The sequence below is a fragment of the Homo sapiens genome, chromosome X, assembly GCF_000001405.40.
Source record: "Homo sapiens chromosome X, GRCh38.p14 Primary Assembly".
NCBI classification, from domain to species: Eukaryota; Metazoa; Chordata; class Mammalia; order Primates; family Hominidae; genus Homo; species Homo sapiens.
Window position 1 is genome coordinate 44,931,663 of NC_000023.11, and position 19,072 is coordinate 44,950,734.

Consider the following 19,072-nt stretch of genomic DNA (forward strand, 5'->3'; position numbering starts at 1 on the left):
CATAGAAACAGGAAGTAGAAAGGTAGGTGTCAAGGGCTGGGGGGAGTTGTAAGAGAGGATTAGTGTTTGATGTGTATAGAATTTTACTTTTTCAAGTTAAAGTTCTAGAGATCTGTTGCGTAACAATGAATATACTTACACTGCTGAATTGCACACTTAAAAATGGTTAAGATTGTAAATTTAATATTAACAGGTTTTTAAAAATCACAATTAAATGATACAGTGTGTCTGAGAATCCTATTTTAAAAATATCATCTTATTTGGTGTTCTTTTAGTTGGGGAACCTTGGAATCGAGAAATGGATGCCTGCTTGAACCTGCTGATTTGTCTTGAACTGAAGAGCTTGCTTGAATATTCCTGTGATATCTTTTAGATCATTGCTGTTTTAGCTAGATTGCTGGTCCTGATTGCTCTAGGTAGCCTTTTTTTTTTTTTTTTTTTTTTTTTTTTAAGATGGAGTCTCGCTCTGTCTTCCAGGCTAGAGTGCAGGGGTGTGATCTCGGCTTACTGCAACCTCCACCTCCCAGGTTTAAGCAATCCTCCTGCCTCAGCCTCCCAAGTAGCTAAGACTACAGGAGTGTCCCACCACACCTGGATAATTTTTGTATTTTTAGTAGAGATGGTGGTGGGGTGGGGGGTGGTCTCACCATGTTGGCCAGGCCGGTCTTCAACTCCTGACCTCAGGTGGTCCGCCTGCCTGGGCCTCCCAGAGTGCTGGGATTACAGGTTTGAGCCACCACGCCTGGCCATCTACGTAGCCTTTTGCTATTATTATTTGTGTTCCAATGATATTTAGGCATGTGGCAGGTTGCTTATATTTTTCTTATATCTTAGTTGACTTTTAAAAAGCAACATAATTCATGATAGACTATGCTTGCATTCTTTAAAAACTTTTTTCTCCTTTCAGTTTCTTTGACATACCAAGGTCTCTTGATTTTTCACTTAACTGCCCTTTCTTTTTCTACCTACTTATTTCACTTAGTCCCACAGCTTTCTCCCCATTTAATTGTAAATATTTATTAAGCCCCTTATTCACATGTCTTATCTATGTATTGTTTTTCCTAATTTTTTTAAATTAAGAAAATGCTGGTACAGAATTTAAAAAACAAACCTGGAGTGGTTCTATGAGACTTATCGTGAAAAACAGCAGTTTTTCGTAGTCTCAGAGGTGCTACCTTCAATGCATAGCTGTTACTTTGGTATTTGCTTCTGTATTTCTTTTTTCTTTCTTTTTTTTTTTTTGAGATGGAGTTTCGCTCTTGTTGCCCAGGCTGGAGTGTAATGGTGTGATCTCGGCTCACTGCAACCTCTGCCTCCCGGGTTCAAGGGATTCTCCTGTCTCAGCCTCCCGAGTAGCTGGGATTACAGACATGCACCACCACGTCCGGCTAATTTTTTTATTTTTAGTAGAGACGGGGCTTCACCATGTTGGCCAGGCTGGTCTCGAAATCCTGACCTCGTGATCTGCCCACCTCTGCCTCCCAAAGTGCTGGGATTACAGGCGTGAGCCATTGCTCCCTGCCTTCCCTCCATATTTCTAGATAATGTGCTTATAATGCTGTTTCTGTGTCCTTCTCTTCCCTCACAGTTTATGTTGATTTTTTTTTTTTTTTTTTTTTTTTTGAGACGGAGTCTCACTCTGTCGCCCAGGCTGGAGTGCAGTGGCGTGATCTCGGCTCACTGCAACCTCCGCCTCCTGGGTTCAAGCGATTGTCCTGCCTCAGCCTCGCAAGTAGCTGGGACTGACTACAGGCGCCTGCCACCACGCCCGGCTAATTTTTTGTGTGTTTTTAGTGAAGACAGGGTTACGCTATGTTGGCCAGGCTGGTCTTGAACTCCTGACCTCATGATCCGCTAGTCTCAGCCTCCCAAAGTGCTGGATTTACAGGCGTGAGCTACTGCGCCTGGCCGATGTTTTTGTTTGTTTGTTTTTGAGACGAAGTATTGCTCTGTCGCCCAGGCTGGAGTCTAGTGATGCAATCTCGGCTCACTGCAACCTCTGCCTTCTGGATTCAAGTGATTCTCGTGCCTCAGCCTCCCAAGTAGTTGGGACTATAGGTGCCCACCACCATGCCTGGCTAATTCTGGTAGTTTTAGTAGAGATGGGGTTTCACCATGTTTGCCAGGCTGGTCTTGAGCTCCTGGCTTCAAGTGATCCGCCTACCTCTGCCTTCCAAAGTGCTGGGATTACAGGCGTGAGCCACCGTGCCTGGCCTTTGCTTTCTATTATAAAGGATAATGTCGATATTTTAAAATCATATTTTCCCATTTCTGTATCTTTTCAGTATAACAGCTTTAGTTAAATAAACAATGTTTACTATGTTATTGATGTTTCTAGTTAATAAGCCAAGAAATATTAAGATGTCTGTTTACTTTAAATAATTTCCCTAATGCTAATCGCCTTTTATCATTTTATTGTTTTCTATAGGTTCCTATCACAAATTCTTGCCCAACAACTGTAAGAGTGCTTCTGGATATTTTTCCTTACTTTTGAAATATATAATCTATCAGTTCTGGTGAACTTCCTCATAATCCTTCCAGGTTCCCTCTTTGCTTTATATTTGGCATGCCATCATCTTTAGGGGAATGGGGCTTCACTATTGACTAGTGTCGAGCTCTGTTTCTTGGATGCTTTGTTTTTCTGTGTTCTTCTACCCTCTTGATTGAGAGTTTGTCTGGTATTAAGTTGGAAATAATTTTCCTTCAAAATTTTGAAATTACTGTTCTTTGTCTTCTGTGTTTGGGGTGGGCCATTTTGTATGTAATATGATTTTTATTTTAACTTTCTTCCTCCTCCAGTTTTAGGATTGTATCTATACCTGGTATTCTGAAAAATCATGGTAATGTGCCTTGGTCTGTCTGGAAACTTTCGTTCCTCCGGTCTGGGAAATGTATGTTGGATTAAGCTTTTCATTATTTGGTGTTAACTTCATGGGAAAAAATTAGGTTCTACTCTTTATTACCTATATCTGTTTGGTGAAATTACCAGTAGATAGCCTACGCCCATTAGAGGAATTTCTGATGATTTAGAATGGCAACCCTCCATGTGACTTGGGGATAGATCTATGAATGAGAATTAGAGAGAAGGGGAGGTGATAGAGGCATACATGTTAGGGGTGGTGGTATGATATGAAGCAAGTGATTATGTAAATGTTAGAATTCTAGATAGGAGTAGATCCTATATAGATGAGTCAGGAAAAAAGAATCATTTTGGCATATTAGGCTTTATAAACCAATGCATGGAGCTAAGAAAAAAATGATATGTCTAGGGAACTGTTAAAGGGAAAGCAAGGATTTTGTAAGGGTGTTCGGTAGTGTTATATCACGGAGGTCCTTGGCATTTTCTCTTATTGTGGTGCAGGCCAGTAGTTCTCCATTGTTTTTACCCCCCTCTATTAGGATACATGCAGTACTTACTTGGCCTTTTCTGGGATTATGCACAATCCTAGAAAGCCAGGTCTTTCATTTAATGAAACATTCAAGAGGGTGATGTTATAGTGAATGCATACATATGTACACCTTAGTCGAAGTGATTTGTGGTACAGCATTTAAAATGTGTTCTTAAAGAAATCCGAAAATTGGTTTTGGAAAGAGCTAAATACACATACTTCTAGTAAGGCTTAGGGAGAGGGCAAAAGGGGAGCATAAATATAAAATATCAAGAATGAGAAAGGGATATATACACAGTTATAAATAGAATATGATGTACAGCCAAACTGTAATTAACTTCAGAGTCTTGATGAAATAGGTGGGTGGTGACAACAATACAAATTGTGAATTGTGATTCATAAAGTTCACGGTGGCGATGGGTACAAGTTTTCAAAAATTCTGATTTTTCCTTAAAATCTTAAATTATGGTATGTATTCCTTTAATTCTTACAATAATCCTTTGGGGTAGTTGCTATAAAATCTTCCTGTTTTATAAAGCACAAAGAGATTAAGTGACTTGCCCAAGGCCAAACAGTACGAAGCTAAAATTCAAAACCTAGCCCGTCAGGTTTCAGAGTCTATCTACTACACTTAGCTCTCATGGCATTAAAAAAGGCAAAGCATTTGGATACTTTGGCACTATAAATATCATTAGTAACTGCAGTTGTCCGCTAGGGAACTCTAGGCTAAATAGTCATTCAGACAAGTAAGACCTGATCAGGTCGCGCTTGGCATCATATTGACATAGAAGGATATTGCGCAGGAAACAGCATGCCAGCAGAGCAATGCCTTGCTCTTGCAGGATTCCTGGGGCTTATGTTTGGTCCATGAGTGACAGCTCAGGTATGTGAGAATGAGAATCACAAAGGTGGTTGCAGAGCTACTCTGGTGTATTAGTTTCCTCCTGTGGCTTCTGTAACAGATAACTATAAACTGGGTGATTGAAAACACAGAAATTTATTCTTTCACAGTTGTAAAGGCTAAAAGTTTGAAATAAATGTGTTGGCAGGGCCATATTCCTGGAGGCTCCAGTGGAGAATCAGTTCCTTGCCTTTTTCCACCTTCTAGTGGCTGGTCTTAACATCACTGCCTACTTTGTGTGCCTGAAAACTCCTGCTATCTTATAAAAGGACACATACGATTGTATTTGGGGCCCACCCAGATAATGCAGGACAAGCGCCTCCTTTCAGGATCCTTATCTTAATCCCATCTTTTTACCAGATAAGGTAATATTTTTTTTTTCAGCCTACCATACTTGATTTAGAAACACCCTCCCTTGCCCCATCACCCCCAAATAGGAACCAATATCTTTTTTAACAGTTTTGTGGTCATACTTTCCATGTTTTCTCTATAGAGATATGCTCAGTTAAATAGTATTCTGAGGAAATCCCAAAGCTGTGGCATCCTAGCAGATATTTATAGTTCATTTGCAGTTCTCTGACTCTAGATTTATTTCATTAATCAGGGATAATTTTCACCATAATCATTGTTACTACTACAGGTTGAGTATCCCTTATCTGAAATGCTTGGGACCAGAAGTGTTTCGGATTTTGGAGTATTTGCATATGCACAAAGAGAGATCTTGGGGATGGAACGTTAAGTCTAAACATGAAATTCATTTATGTTTTACACGCACTTTATATACATAGCCTACAGGTAATTTTATATAAGATTTTAAATAATTTTGTTAAACGAAATTTTGGCAGTGACCCATCAAGAGGCCAGGTGTGGAATTTTCCACTTGTGGCATCATGTCATTGCTCAAAACATTTTGGACTTAGCAGCATTTTGGATTTAGGATTAGGGATGCTTAGCCTGTAATACAACTGACATACAACCTTTATCAGGCTTTAGAAGTAAAGGATGCCAAGGTCAAATTTGTTCATAGAAGAGAAAGGTTTTGTTGACCCTTCGCAAATTATTTAGGATACACCATGATTACTATAGATTGCATTAGAACTTTTCATGATTTACTGATACTATCCTAGGCCCTGGGAGTAGCAGTGAGTTTGATGATACATTGACCCTTTTTTTTTTTAAAGTGAGGATGTGGCATTATAAAATTTATGTTTTAGATTTTGTAGATACTGAAATGATACTATAACCCTGAATAGTAGGGAGGAGATGTTTTCAATGGATTAGAGAAACATAAATTGTAATATTTTTGGTTAGGGGCAAATGGATTAACATGAAAGAAGGAACAGGAGAGTTATAGGCACACCTTGCTTTATTGTGCTTTGCATATATGTATATATGTAAACAAACGGAAGGTTTGTGGCAGTCCTGTGTATCACAAATCTATTGGAACCATTTTTCCAACAGCATGTGCTCACTCAGTGACTGAGTCACATTTTGGTAATTCTCACACTATTTCAAACTTTTTCATTATTATTGTATCTATTATGATTATCATTGATCAGTGACCTTTGATGTTACTGTTGTAATTGTTTTGGGGCACCATGAACTGTGCGCATGTGCAATAGTAAACTTAATTAATAAACATGTATGTGTTCTGACTGCTCTACCGACTGGCCATTCCCTGGTCTCTCTCCCTCTCCTCTCCTATTCCCTGAGACACAGTATTGAAATTAGGCCAATGAATAACCCTGTGGTAACCTCTGAGTATTCAAGTGAAAGACAGAGTTGGACATTCTCACTTTAAGATCAAAGCTAGAAATGATTAAGCTTAGTGAGGAAGGTCAAGATAGAAGCCAAGATAGACTGAAAGCTAGGCCTCTTAGACCAAACAGCCAAGTTGTGAATACAGAGGAAACTTTGTTTTTAAAGAGACAGAGTCTCACTTTGTTGCCCAGGCTGGAGTGCAGCGGCATGATATGGTGTAAGCTAGGCCTCTTACACCAAACAGCCAAGTTGTGAATGCAGAGGAAACTTTGTTTTTAAAGACACAGGGTCTCACTTTGTTGCCCAGGCTGGAGTGCAGGGGCATGATCTTAGCTTACTGCAGCCTCAAGCTCCTGGGCTCAAGCCATCTTCCTACCTCAGCCTCTCAAGTAGCTGGGATGACAGGTACCCAGCTATTTTCATTTTCGTAGAGATGGGGTCTTGCTATGTTGTCTAGGCTGGTTTTGAACTCCTGACCTCAAGCCATCCCCTTGCCTTGGCCTCACAAAGTGTTGGCATTACAGGCATGAGCCACCGCACCTGACCGAAAACATTCTTGAAGGGAATTAAAAGTGCTACTCCAGTGAACACATGAAAGATAAGGAAGCAGAACAGCCTCACTGCTGACATAGCAAACTTTGAGTGGTCTAGGTGGAAAATCGAACCAGCCCCACAGCATTGCCTTAAGCCAAAGCCAAACCCAGAGCAAGGCTTTGATTCTCTTTAATTCTGTGAAGTCTGAGAGAGGTGAGGAAGCTGCAGAAGGAAAGATTGAAGCTAGCAGAGGTTGGTTCATGAGGTTTAACGAAAGAATCTATCTCCATAACATAAAAGTGCAAGGTGAGGTAGCAAGTGCTAATGGAGAAGTGTAGCAAGTTATCCAGAAGATCTACCTAAGATCATTCATCAGTGATCTGCACTGCACTAAACAGATTTTCCATCTATATGAAACAGCCTTCTGTTGGAAGAAGATGCCATGTAGGACTTTGATAGCTAGAGGAAAAGTCAAGGCTTAGCTTCAAAACTTCAAGGGACAGCCTGACTCATTTGTTAGGGGCTAATGCAGCTGGTGATTTTAGGTTGAAGCAATTGCTCATTTACCATTCAGAAAATCCTAGGGACCTTTTTGAATTATGCTGAATCTGCTCTACCTATACTTTATAAGTGAAACAACAAAGCCTGGATTACAGCACATCTGTTTACAGCATAGTCTACTGAATATTGTAAGTCCACTGTTGATACCTACTGCTCAGAAAATTTCTTTTCAAAATATTACTGCTTATTGACGATGCACTTGTTTACCCAAGAGCTCTGGTGGAGATACATAAGGAGACAAATGTGTTCATGCCTGCTAACACAACATCCATTGTGCAGCCCATAGATCAAGAACTAATTTTGACTTTCAAGTCTTATTATTTAAGTGATACATTTTGTAAGGCTATATGGCTGCCGTAGTTAGTGATTCCACTCATGGATCTGGGCAAAGTAAATAAAAAACCTTCTGGGAAGGATTCACCATTCTTGATGCCATTGAGAACACTTGTGATTCATGGGATGAGGTTAAAATATCCACATTAGCAGGAGTTTGGGAGAAGTTGATTTCAACCCTCATGGATGACTCTGAAGGGTTCTAGACTTGAGTAGAAGTAGTAAATGCAGATGTGGTAGAAATAGCAAAAGAATCAAAATTAGAAGTGAAGCCTGAAGATGTGATTGAATTGCTGCTATCTCGTGATAAAACTTGAATGGAGGAGTTGCTTCTTATGGATGAGCAAAGAAGGTGGTTTCTTGAGATGGAACTCACTCCTGGTGAAGATGCTGTGAATATTGTGGAAATGACAACAAAGGATTTAGGATATTTTGTAAACTTAGTTAACAGAGTAGTGGCAGGGTTTGAGAGAACTGACTCTAGTTTTGAAAGAAGTTCTACCATGAGTAAAATGCTTTCAAACAGCATCACATGCTACTGAGAAACCTTTCATGAAAGGAAGAGTCAATCCATGTGGCAAACTTCATTGTTGTCCTAAGAAACTGCCACAGCCACCCTAAACTTCAGCAACCACCACCCTGATCAGTCAGCAGCTATGAACATTGAGTCAGGACCCTCCACCAGCAAAAAGATTACAACTTGCTGAAGGCTCAGATTTTTAAATTAGGTATGTACATTTTCTTTGACTAAATGCTACTGCATGTGTAATAGACTATTGAATATTGTTAACATAATTTTTATATGCACTGGGAAACCAAAAAATTCATGTGACTCACTTTGTTGTGATAATTCTATTGTGGCGGTCTCCAATTATCCCCAAAGTATGCTTGTACTATCAGTTATTACTGATGTCAACAAACTTTTTTTTGAGGTGGAGTCTCACCCTGTTGCCCAGGCTGGAGGGCAATGGCATGATCTCAGCTCACTGCAAGCTCTGCTTCCTGGGTTCAAGCAATTCTAGTGCCTCAGCCTCTCTAGTAGCTGGGATTACAGGTGTGCACTACCATGCCCGGCCAATTTTTATATCTTTAGTAGAGACGAGGTTTTCACCATGTTGGCCAGGCTGGTCTTGAACTCCTGACCTCAAGTGATCCGTCCGCCTCAGCCTCCCAAAGTGCTGGGATTACAGCCATGAGCCACCATGCCTGGCTGATGTCAACACACTTAATTATACATTATCAAAAAGTTACATTCATTGATATCACCACCAATCTCATCAGAAAAAACTTTTAAGTTTTGCGAAGCTGTCAAGCTCACAGTAGTGGTGGGTTGAAGTTTTCCAAAATTCTGATTTTTGCTTCAAATCTCAAATTTGATCATTGGCAGTAAATATTGTTATTTGCTTTTCTTTAAATGATGGGCTCATCACTCCCATTTTTGAGAAGATGTCTTCTAACTACCCAAATCTGGATAGACATATTTTGTCATTCATTCTTTCGAGTCAAAGTGATGCTCCATGAAAAAAGAGGCCAGTTCACTTAATTAATCATTGTACAAAAATGCTTTAAAGTTCCCATTCTGTTACACAGCTTATTAATACAACATGTACTCGGCAAGGTACGGTGACTCACGCCTGTAATTCCAGCACTTTGGGAGGCCGAGGTGGGCGGATCACCTGCGGTCGGGAGTTGGAGACCAGCCTGACCAACATGGAGAAACCCCGTCTCTACTAAAAATGCAAAATTAGCCAGGCATGGTGGCGTATGCCTGTAATCCCAGCTACTCGGGAGGCCGAGGGAGGAGAATCGCTTGAATCCAGGAGGCGGAGGTTGCGGTGAGCTGAGATCATGCCACTGCACTCCAGCCTGGGCAATAAGACCGAAACTCTGTCTCAAATAAAAAAAAAATAAAACAACATGTACTCAAGGGTTGACATTTAATAACATAACTTTTTAACTGTTTTATTGAGGATATTATTAAATGAAACTGGCATTTTCTTTTAATAAAAAAAACAAGGTGGTATGATTACTGTAGTGTTTAGCTCTGTTTGATTTTTGCTGATGCCAGCAGTTTTGCTCACCATTGCTTTTGTATCAGTTCAAATAACATCTTAATATTAATGAAAATAATTTTGACCTAGCAGACCTCTTGAAAGGGTTTTAGAGACTCCAGTTGTCTGTGAATCATACTTTGAGAACAGCTGACTTAGGGATTACAGCATGTATTTTTGGCTTATCAAAGTCTAGTTGGTACTTCTGCCCTTTTCTTAGGCAATGCAAGATTCTTAGAGCCTTTACCCCTCCCCTCTTCCATCGTTGTATATATGAATTCTGTACCAGTTTTTTTTTTTTTTTTTAAAATAGAGTCTCGCTGTGTTGCCCAGGCTGGAGTGCAGTGGCACGATCTCGGCTCACTGCAAGCTCCGCCTCCCGGGTTCACACCATTCTCCTGCCCCAGCCTCCCGAGTAGCTGGGACTACAGGTACCCGCCGCCACACCCGGCTAATTTTTCTTGTATTTTTAGTAGAGATGGGGTTTCACCATGTTAGCCAGGATGATCTCCATCTCCTGACCTGGTGATCCACCTGCCTCGGCCTCAAGTGCTGGGATTACAGGCGTGAGCCACCGCGACTGGCAATTCTGTACCAGTTTTAAACACAAGTTATCTTTAATGTTGTTACCCATGTATTTAACACCCCCCCTTTTTTGCTTGCCATTTCTTACTGCATCACTGACCTTCCTTTTGAGATATTTTTCTGCATGTGAGTCTGCTATATTTATATATCTGAAAATATTATTATCACACCTTCATGAGGTATGCATTGAGAGGTTCTTTTTTTGAGGGGGTGGAATTCGAGCATATGAACTTCCAGTTCTACCACCATTTGTTGAAAGACTTTTTTTTTTTTTGAGACAGAGTCTCACTCTGTCGCCCAGGCTGGAGTGCAGTGCCTGCAATCTCGGCTCACTGCAACCTCTGCCTCCTGGGTTCAAGCGATTCTCCTGCCTCAGCCTCCTGAGTAGCTGGGATTACAGGTGCGCGCCACCACGCCCAGCTAATTTTTGTATTTTTAGTAGAGACGGGGTTTCACCATGTTGGCCAGGATGGTCTTGATCTCTTGACCTCGTGATGCACCCGTGTTTGCTTCCCAAAGTGCTGGGATTACAGGTATGAGCCACCATGCCTGGCTTTTCTGTTTTTTTAAGAAATTGTCTTTGCACATTGTCAAGAACCAGTTGGCTATATTTCTGAGGGTCAGTTTCTGGGTTCTCTGTCTTCTGTTGATCTGTATCTTCTGTTGATCTGTATCTTCTGTTGATCTGTGTGTTTGTCTTTTCACGAATACCATACCGCCTTGATTGTTGTAGCTTACTGTATTAAGTCTTGAAATTAGGTAATATATATCCTCTGACTTTGTTCTTTTTCATAATTGTTTCGGCTATTCTAGTTCCTTTGCCTTTCTGCTTGCTGATACATACAAAAAAGGCTCACTGAGATTTTGATTATGATGGCCTTTATATCTCTATATAAATATATATAAATAAAAATTAGGGGGGATTGATATTAACAATGAGTTTTCCACATGTAGATCCTGCACATATTTTGCTAGATTTATACCTAAGTACTCCTTTCTTCCGGGGGTTGGGGCAGGTGTTACTGTAAATGTTTTTTTAAAATTTCAAATTCCAATTGTTCATTACTAGTATATTGGAATATAATTGACTATTGTATATTCACCTTGAATATTACACTTATCGGTTCTAGTATTTAATTTCAACTTTTAACTTGCCACAGTCTACCTTCAAATAATATTTACACTATGTCATGTGTAGAATGGACTTTACAAGAGTATATACTTCATTTCTCTCATTGTGGTCTTTTGTATTGTCATACATTTTATATCCGTATATGTTGTAAACCTCACAGCACATTGTTACTATTTTTTGCTTTAAACAGTCTCATTTTAAAAAATAAACTCTTTTTGATGTATAATTTACATATACCGGCATACCTTGGAGATATTGGGAGTTTGGTTTGGTTCCATACCACCGTAAGAAAGCAAATATTGCAGTACAGTGAGTCACACAATTTTTTTGGTCTCCTGGTCCATATAAAAGTTCTGTTTACACTATACTGTTGTCTCTTAAGTGTGTAATAACATTACATCTAAAAGAAGTGTATACCTTAATTGAAAAGCAATATTTTATTGCTAAAAAAAGTGTCAGCATTTTTTAGCAATAAAATATTGCTAAGCACATGCTGTTGGAAAACTGGTGCTGATAGACTTGCCACAAACCTTCAATTTGCAAAAATTTGCAATAAAGTGAAGTGCAATAAAATGAGGGATGCCTGTTTGTAATTTCACTCATTTTATGTATTTGATATGTTTAGACACATGCATATACTATGTGATCTTTTGAGACTGGCTTCATTCACTCAGCATGTGTTCGAGATTGACCCATGTGTTACGTCAGTAGTTCATTCCTTTTTATTGCTAAATAGTATTCCATTGTATAGATGTATCACAGTTTGTTTATCCATTTATTCATTGAGGGATTATTTGGGTTATTTCCAATTTTCACTGATTATGAATAAAGCTGCTATAAACATTCATGTATAGGTTTTGGTATGAGCATAACTTTAAACTTCTCTGGGTTATATATTTAGGAGTGGGATTGCTGAGTCATGTGGTAAATGTATGTTTAACTTTATATTTAACTGCCAATCTGTGTTCTGGAGTGACTGTAATATTTTGCATTCTCACCAGCAATGTATGAGAGTTCCACTTGTTCTGCATCCTCATTAACACTTGGTATTGTCACTTTTTGAAAATTTTAACTATTCATATAGATAATATAGTGGTACCTCATTATGGTTTTAATTGATTTCTGTAGCTTTATAATAGGTCTTAAATTTAGGACATGTGGGCCGGGCATGGTGGCTCACACCTGTAATCCCAGCGCTTTGAGAGGCAGAGACTGGTGGATCACTTGAGGTCAGGAGTTCGAGACCAGCCTGGACAACATGGTAAAACCCCATTTCTACTAAAAGTACAAAAATTAGCCGGGCGTGGTGTTGGGCGCCTGTAATTCCAGCTACTTGGGAGGCCGAGGCTGGAGAATTGGTTGAACCCCAGAGGTGGAGGTTGCAGTGAGCCGAAGTTGCCCCATTGCACTCCAGCCTGGGCAACAGAGTGAAACTCTGTTAGGACATGTGAATTCTCTAGCCTTACTATTTTTCAAAATTGTTTTGCTTATTCTAGTTTATTTGCCTTTCCATATACATTTTACAGTCATCTGTAGCTACAAAAAAATCCTGCTGGAATTTTGATTGAAATTTCATTAAATCTGTACATCACTTGGGAGACTTCTCATCTTAATGCTATTGAGTCTCCCAATTTCATGAACACAGTATCTTCTCTGCGCTTATTTAGGACTATTTAGGACTTCTTTGACTCTTTTCACCAGGGTTTTGTAGGTCTTCTAGCATATACAGATTCTGTTGCACATATTTTGTTATATATTTCATATTTTTGGAGCTGTTGTATGCGATAAAAAAATTTTCTTCCAATTGTTCATTGTTAGTTTATAGAAATGTAATTTATTTTTGTATGCTGACTTTGTAGCATATGTCCTTGCTAAACTCAGTTACTAGTTACAGGAGGGTATTTGGGGATAGATTTCTTGGGTCAGTTGTGTTTTAAGGAGACTTTCAAAATTGAGAAAAATGTCTTATAATTACCCATGAGCTACCATTTCAGGTACTCTTTATTTTGTTGTGTAGATCAGTATTTCCATTTGGTATAATTTTCCTTCTGCCTGAGAATTTCCTTTAACATTTCTTAGACTGTAGGTCTTCTGGTGATGAATTCTTTCAGCCTTTGTATATCTGAAAAAGTATACTTTCATCTTCATTTATGGAAGATATTTTTGCTGGGTATAGAATTGTAGGTTATATGGTGTCAGTTGGCATTTAGAAAGAAAAAAATAGGACTGTAGGTTGACAGAGTCGCCTTCCCCTCCCATTTATTAACTATAAGGGTATTGTTCCATTGTATTTCAGCTTGTATTGATTCCTCCAAGAAGTTTTCCCATACATGTGCTGTAGCCTGAAAAGTTTCTTTAGGCAGTAAGCTTGGGGTAATTAGAGCTCACATTCATTATTTTCTGTTTATTGTCATGTGTTCTGATATTCAATGTCTAAAATTCTTTGTTTCACGTTTCTTTAGTTATTTAATTGTTATATTCAGGAGTAAATTTGGTCCCTTTTACTGCACCTTGGCCTGAAGCAGAAGTCCGAAGACTTAAGAAGTTTTAATCTCGTAATGCCTTATAGAGTGGATGATTGAGATGCCAAGAATATCACTTCAGTAATTCAAATGTATGCCTTGTATGGAAAATGTTGGGTTTAAGGTTTCTTCTGACACTAGTGGGTTGGTATTTATTTCACTGGTTTAAAATAAAAAATTTGAATACGAGCTTAGACATTCAAGCTAAGTTGAAATGGTATTTTGGATGGTCAAATTTCATATTTTATATGAAAGTATTTGAGTATTTAGTGTGATAAATTATGAGTAGTTATGACAGTTTTCCTTTAAATTCAGATTTTTGGCAAAATGTGATTTTAGGACTGGTTTTTCAGATGAGCTTTTTCAAATTAGTGGAGCACATTGTTAAAACAGCCACTAATAATGAGAGATACTTAAATTTGCCCAATACCGTATTACCTTTACCCTTTCACTTCCTAAATGAACAACCTTCCTAGTCATATTGGAAAAATTTATAGCTGTGATAGACTGGAGCAGGGCTACCACCTAGTGGTTTAAACAGACACGGGCCCTTATGGAGCATCTGAATGCGTAATGCAACTATTTGTCCTTTGATCTTTTATTATGAAGAATTTGTGTTTTGCTTTGTTATTCATTCTTGCCATTTGTGGATCACAGTGGCAGATCAGATTTTCTTTTCTTTCGAGATGAAGTCTTGCTTTGTCGCCCAGACTGGAGTGCAGTGGCACGATCTTGGCTCACTGCAACCTCTGCCTCCCAAGTGATTATCCTGCCTCAGTCTCCTGAGTAGCTGGGATTACAGGTGCACACCACCATTCCTGGCTCATTTTTGTATTTTTAGTAGAGATAGGGTTTCACCATGTTGGCCAGGCTGGTCTCGAACTGCTGACCTCAAGTGATCTGCCTGCCTCAGCCTCCTAGAGTGTTGGGATTACAGGTGTGAACCACTGCACCTGGCCCAGATTTTCCTCATTAGTATTTTTAAAAACAAATTTGATTTTTAGGAGTTCCTTATATATTCTAAATATGAATCCTTTGTCACTACATGTGTTGAAAGTATATTTTCTCAGTTGTGGCTTGCCTTTATACTAATTTTTTTTTTATAAACATAAGTTCTGAGCATTGAGGTAGTTGAATTAATGTATCAGCCTTTTTTAATGACTTGTACTTTTTGTCTAATTTTAAAGAAATCCCACGCTATCCTAATGTCAAAGCCATTTTTCCGTGTTTTCTTCTTAAGGATTTATATAGTTTCACATTAGGGCCTTTAATAGGTTTTTTTATATGTAGATATAGGAGTCCACTTTATTTTTTTTCTCCCGTTAGAAATAACTTGCAGGCTTGCCACCACTTTTTTGTTAGGTTATTGTTTGCCAGTTGCGTTACCAGGTTTCCACACGTACAAGTTCTGTTTCTGAGCTCTTTATTGCTAAATATATGTATTCATGCACCAGCTCTCTTGATTTCTGTATCTTTATTGTGACTCATGGTATCTGGCACAATGCCAACTTTCTTTTGATTATGTTTGTAGTATTTTTCTGTCTTTTTTAAGTCTTTCTATGTTATATTTTACGTGTGTCTAAATTGCATAAATCTGGATTTAAAAATTTTGTTGAAAGCCATTTTCGTAGCATATTTATTCCATTTACATTTGTTGTGATTAAAATATTGCATTAAATAAATATTCATTTAAATATATCTACATATTGATTACCTTCTTTGCTCTGCCCTACCCCCCATCTCCCCACCAGATATACTGAGTTTTTGAATATAAAGACTTTTGCGGGGGAGATCTGTAGGATTTCTTTTAGGCCAGGAATGTGATAGTACTGTGTTTGATTTTGGCCTGTACTTTGGATTGTTATTAGTTGAAGACCATCTATAGTTAAATTCTCGTCTGAAGTTTGTGTTCTACCCAGGTCAGATGAATTCAGGCTTATGGTTGTGTAAATAATCAGAATTTTTTTTTTTTTTTTGAGTGTCTCCCAGGCTGGAGTGCAGTGGCGTGATCTTGGCTCACTGCAAGCTCCGCCTCCCGGGTCCATGCCATTTTCCTGCCTCAGCCTCCAGAGTAGCTGGGACTACAGGCGCCCGCCACCACGCCCGACTAATTGTTTTATATTTTTAGTAGAGACAGGGTTTCACCGTGTTAGCCAGGATGGTCTCGATCTCCTGACCTCATGATCTGCCCACCTTGGCCTCCCAAAGTGCTGGGATTACAGGTGTGAGCTACCGCGCCCAGCCAATACTCAGATTTTCTTTTCCACTCATTGCCATCATGGATTGGCAGTTTTCTTTGTCCTTCAAGAACAGTTTTAAAATAACATTTAAAAAATTGGTTTATTATTACATTTTAGTTTTTACTTAGATTGAAGGTGTTCGCTCATTGAGGCTCAGTGTTCTGAGCGGTTATCTTATTTGACTCTTCTTCTTAGGTGGCTTTCAGGCCTTGTGTTCTGTCCCCCAAATAAGACCCCAGAACCCAACACAGGCTTTCAGAATGTCATACAAAAAGTCACTTTGATATTCTGTCTGTCTCCACTTCTCTTAGTTCTGGTTCCCCTGACCGCCCCCAAAGTCCATTCTTTGTAGAGCTTAAGAACTTAAGAACTTTGTGTTGGTCGCCTGCCATTGTGTTTAATCTGACATCTTTAGTTTTCAGCACAAGGTTTCAGTGGTTGTCCTGAAGTGGAAGCCCTTCCCAACTCTTCATTTTATGGCTTACATGGAAGATTGATAGTAGCAATTACTGAGAGAATTTCTTGAGGGCTCTTAAGATTGGTACATATACAAGGGCTCTGTTTGAAAGACTTTGGCTGCCCTGGCGTCCTGGCTGTTTTATGCCTGGTAGCTCTAGCGGTTAAAAGCTCTCTCTGTCTTGCCACTCCTATTACCCATTACCAGTACATTTGTTGGAGAACTTTGGTTGTAGAATATAAATCCCAGAAACAGAGCTGTGTGTGCATGGTTAAGTTTTTTAGTTCATGAGAGAAGGGGGAAATTAAAGATCTTGACTCATACCTGGCCAGTACAACATTGCACAGGGAAGAAAAATGCAATTAGGTGCTTGCTTTACAGTAGAAGAAAATATTGGTAAGTGTTTTACATCGGGTCAGATTCTGGGGATTTTCTAATTCTGAGCCGAACTTATGTACTGTGAAGGAAATGGTGGGTGGTTTTCAGAAAATAGGGAAACTTTTACATCAAAAACTCTGTAAAGAAGTCAAAGATAAATGTAATCTGGGAAAAAATATTCTGTAACATTATATATAGAAATCCTTTATGTATAAATAGCACCTGACATCATTTAGGAAAAGAACTATTTATGATGTAGTATACTGAGAACTGTGCACAATGTATGGACAGGTCTAGTAAATATTAGGGAAAAAGTAATGAAAAAACTTGAAACCAGCACCGCTGGTGGAAGGTTATATTGGTTCAGCTTTGCTGGTTGGCTTATCAGAAGCTTAAATTGTGCTTTTAATTTGACTGTGAGGAACTTATCCTAATAATAGCAAAAACTTGGTTAACAGATACTCTTCAGTAGAAACAAATTATAGTTTAACTGTTCAATAAAATGCTATGCAGATGTTAATTTTGAGATCTATATGTTTTGACATGATAATATATTAAATCAAATAAAAATTTTATAAAATTGCATATAAAGATTTGTACTAGGCCGGGTGCGGTGGCTCAGTTCTGTAATCCTAGCACTTTGGGAGGCCGAGGCAGGTAGATCACTTGAGTTCAGGAGTTTGAGAGACCAGCCTGGTGTACGTGGCGAAACCTTGTCTCTACAAAAAAAATACAAAAATTAGCTGGGCGTGTTGGTGCGTTCCTGTAGTTCCAGCTACTTGGGTGGCTGAGGCAGTGGATCGCTTGAGCCTGGGAGGTCCAGGCTGCAGTGAACATGATGGTGTGCCTCTGCACCCTAGCCTCGGTGACAAAGTGAGACCTTTCAAAAGAAAAAAACAAAAAGATTTTTACTGTTTGCATATATGCATAGAGAAAAGTCTGAAAGGGTATATTCGGGCCTATTAAAAAGTTTTTTTTTTTTAAAGCACTTATTTTGGGGGAGGGTCCTTTATCATGTTGCAGTTTCTCTAGATTTAAGGTTTTTCATATGTTCAAGAAATAAATCTAAGTGCCTACATTTTAGAAGTTGTAGAATTCAAGGCATATTTTCAGTGGAGCTCATGCTCATAAACCCTATCTCTTCCACCTTTTCATGCAACCTGAAGTGCTTGCTTTTTCCTTTTTATGTGCATTTATTTAAAAATGTGTGTAAGGCAAAGGAATGCATACTTTGCTACCAAAGATATTAATTTGAACTACATATTTAACCAGGGTACAGCATGCAGAATAATGTAGTCTTTTACCTTCATAAAGATATGGTCTACATAATTTTGCTGCAGGCGGGCTTTCTTTATACATGTATCTTTTTGGAATTCTGAGTTAAATGTGTGCAGCTTAAATGACAGGCATAATGATTGCTGTAAGACTGTTTCTGTCAACCTCTAGGTAAATAATAGACCCTGTGGAGTAGCACAAGCAAATTAAATTAAAAAATAAAGGGTTATAATGCCAACTTTTTTTTTTTTTTGAGATGGAGTCTCGCTCTGTCACCTAGGCTGGAATGCAGTGGCGCGATCTCTGCTCACTGCAAGCTCCGCCTCCCGGGTTCAAGCGATTCTTTTGCCTCTGCCTTCGAGTAGCTGGGACTACAGGCGCGTGCCACCATGCCTGGCTGATTTTTGTATTTTTAGTAGAGATGGGGTTTCACCATATTGGCCAGCCTGGTCTCGAACTCCTGACATCGTGATCCACCCGCCTCGGCCTCCCAAAGTGCTGGGATTACTTTACAGGCGTGAGCCCCTGCGCCCGGCCTTGCCAACTTTTTCATATGGAAAATCACAGGATCATTCTGAAGTGAAATTATCTCTCATACTGTCCTTGGCCCCAAAATACAGTTTTTAAAAGATCATTTAAGGCTTAATTCGTTGCTTAATTTGAGTAAGGAGACTTTATAATGTACTTGAATGTATTCCATCTTTACAATGTTACATTTAGGATGCTACAAAAAAATTTGGAAAATAACTCAGCTGTTGTGTCAATACAGCTTCTTTTTATTTAATGTATACCCTGGGTGTGAGTGTGTGTGTGTGTGTGTGTCTGTGTGTGTGAATATAGAATCCATTAATTCATGTGGTTGCATGCATCTGAGATAAGTTTTGGAGTTAGTAGTAAACTAGCAACTTGTTGACTATTGAGACAGTACAGCTTAGTTTGCTTTGTTGCAGCTG

At 39.0% G+C, this 19,072-nt stretch overlaps 1 protein-coding gene across 24 annotated transcripts in view; it reads left to right on the forward strand.

Moving 5' to 3' along the window:
- The window catches only part of KDM6A (lysine demethylase 6A), a 239,592-nt gene that overhangs the window by 58,475 nt on the left and 162,045 nt on the right, over positions 1 to 19,072 (forward strand). The gene's annotated exons all lie outside the window — the stretch shown is intronic.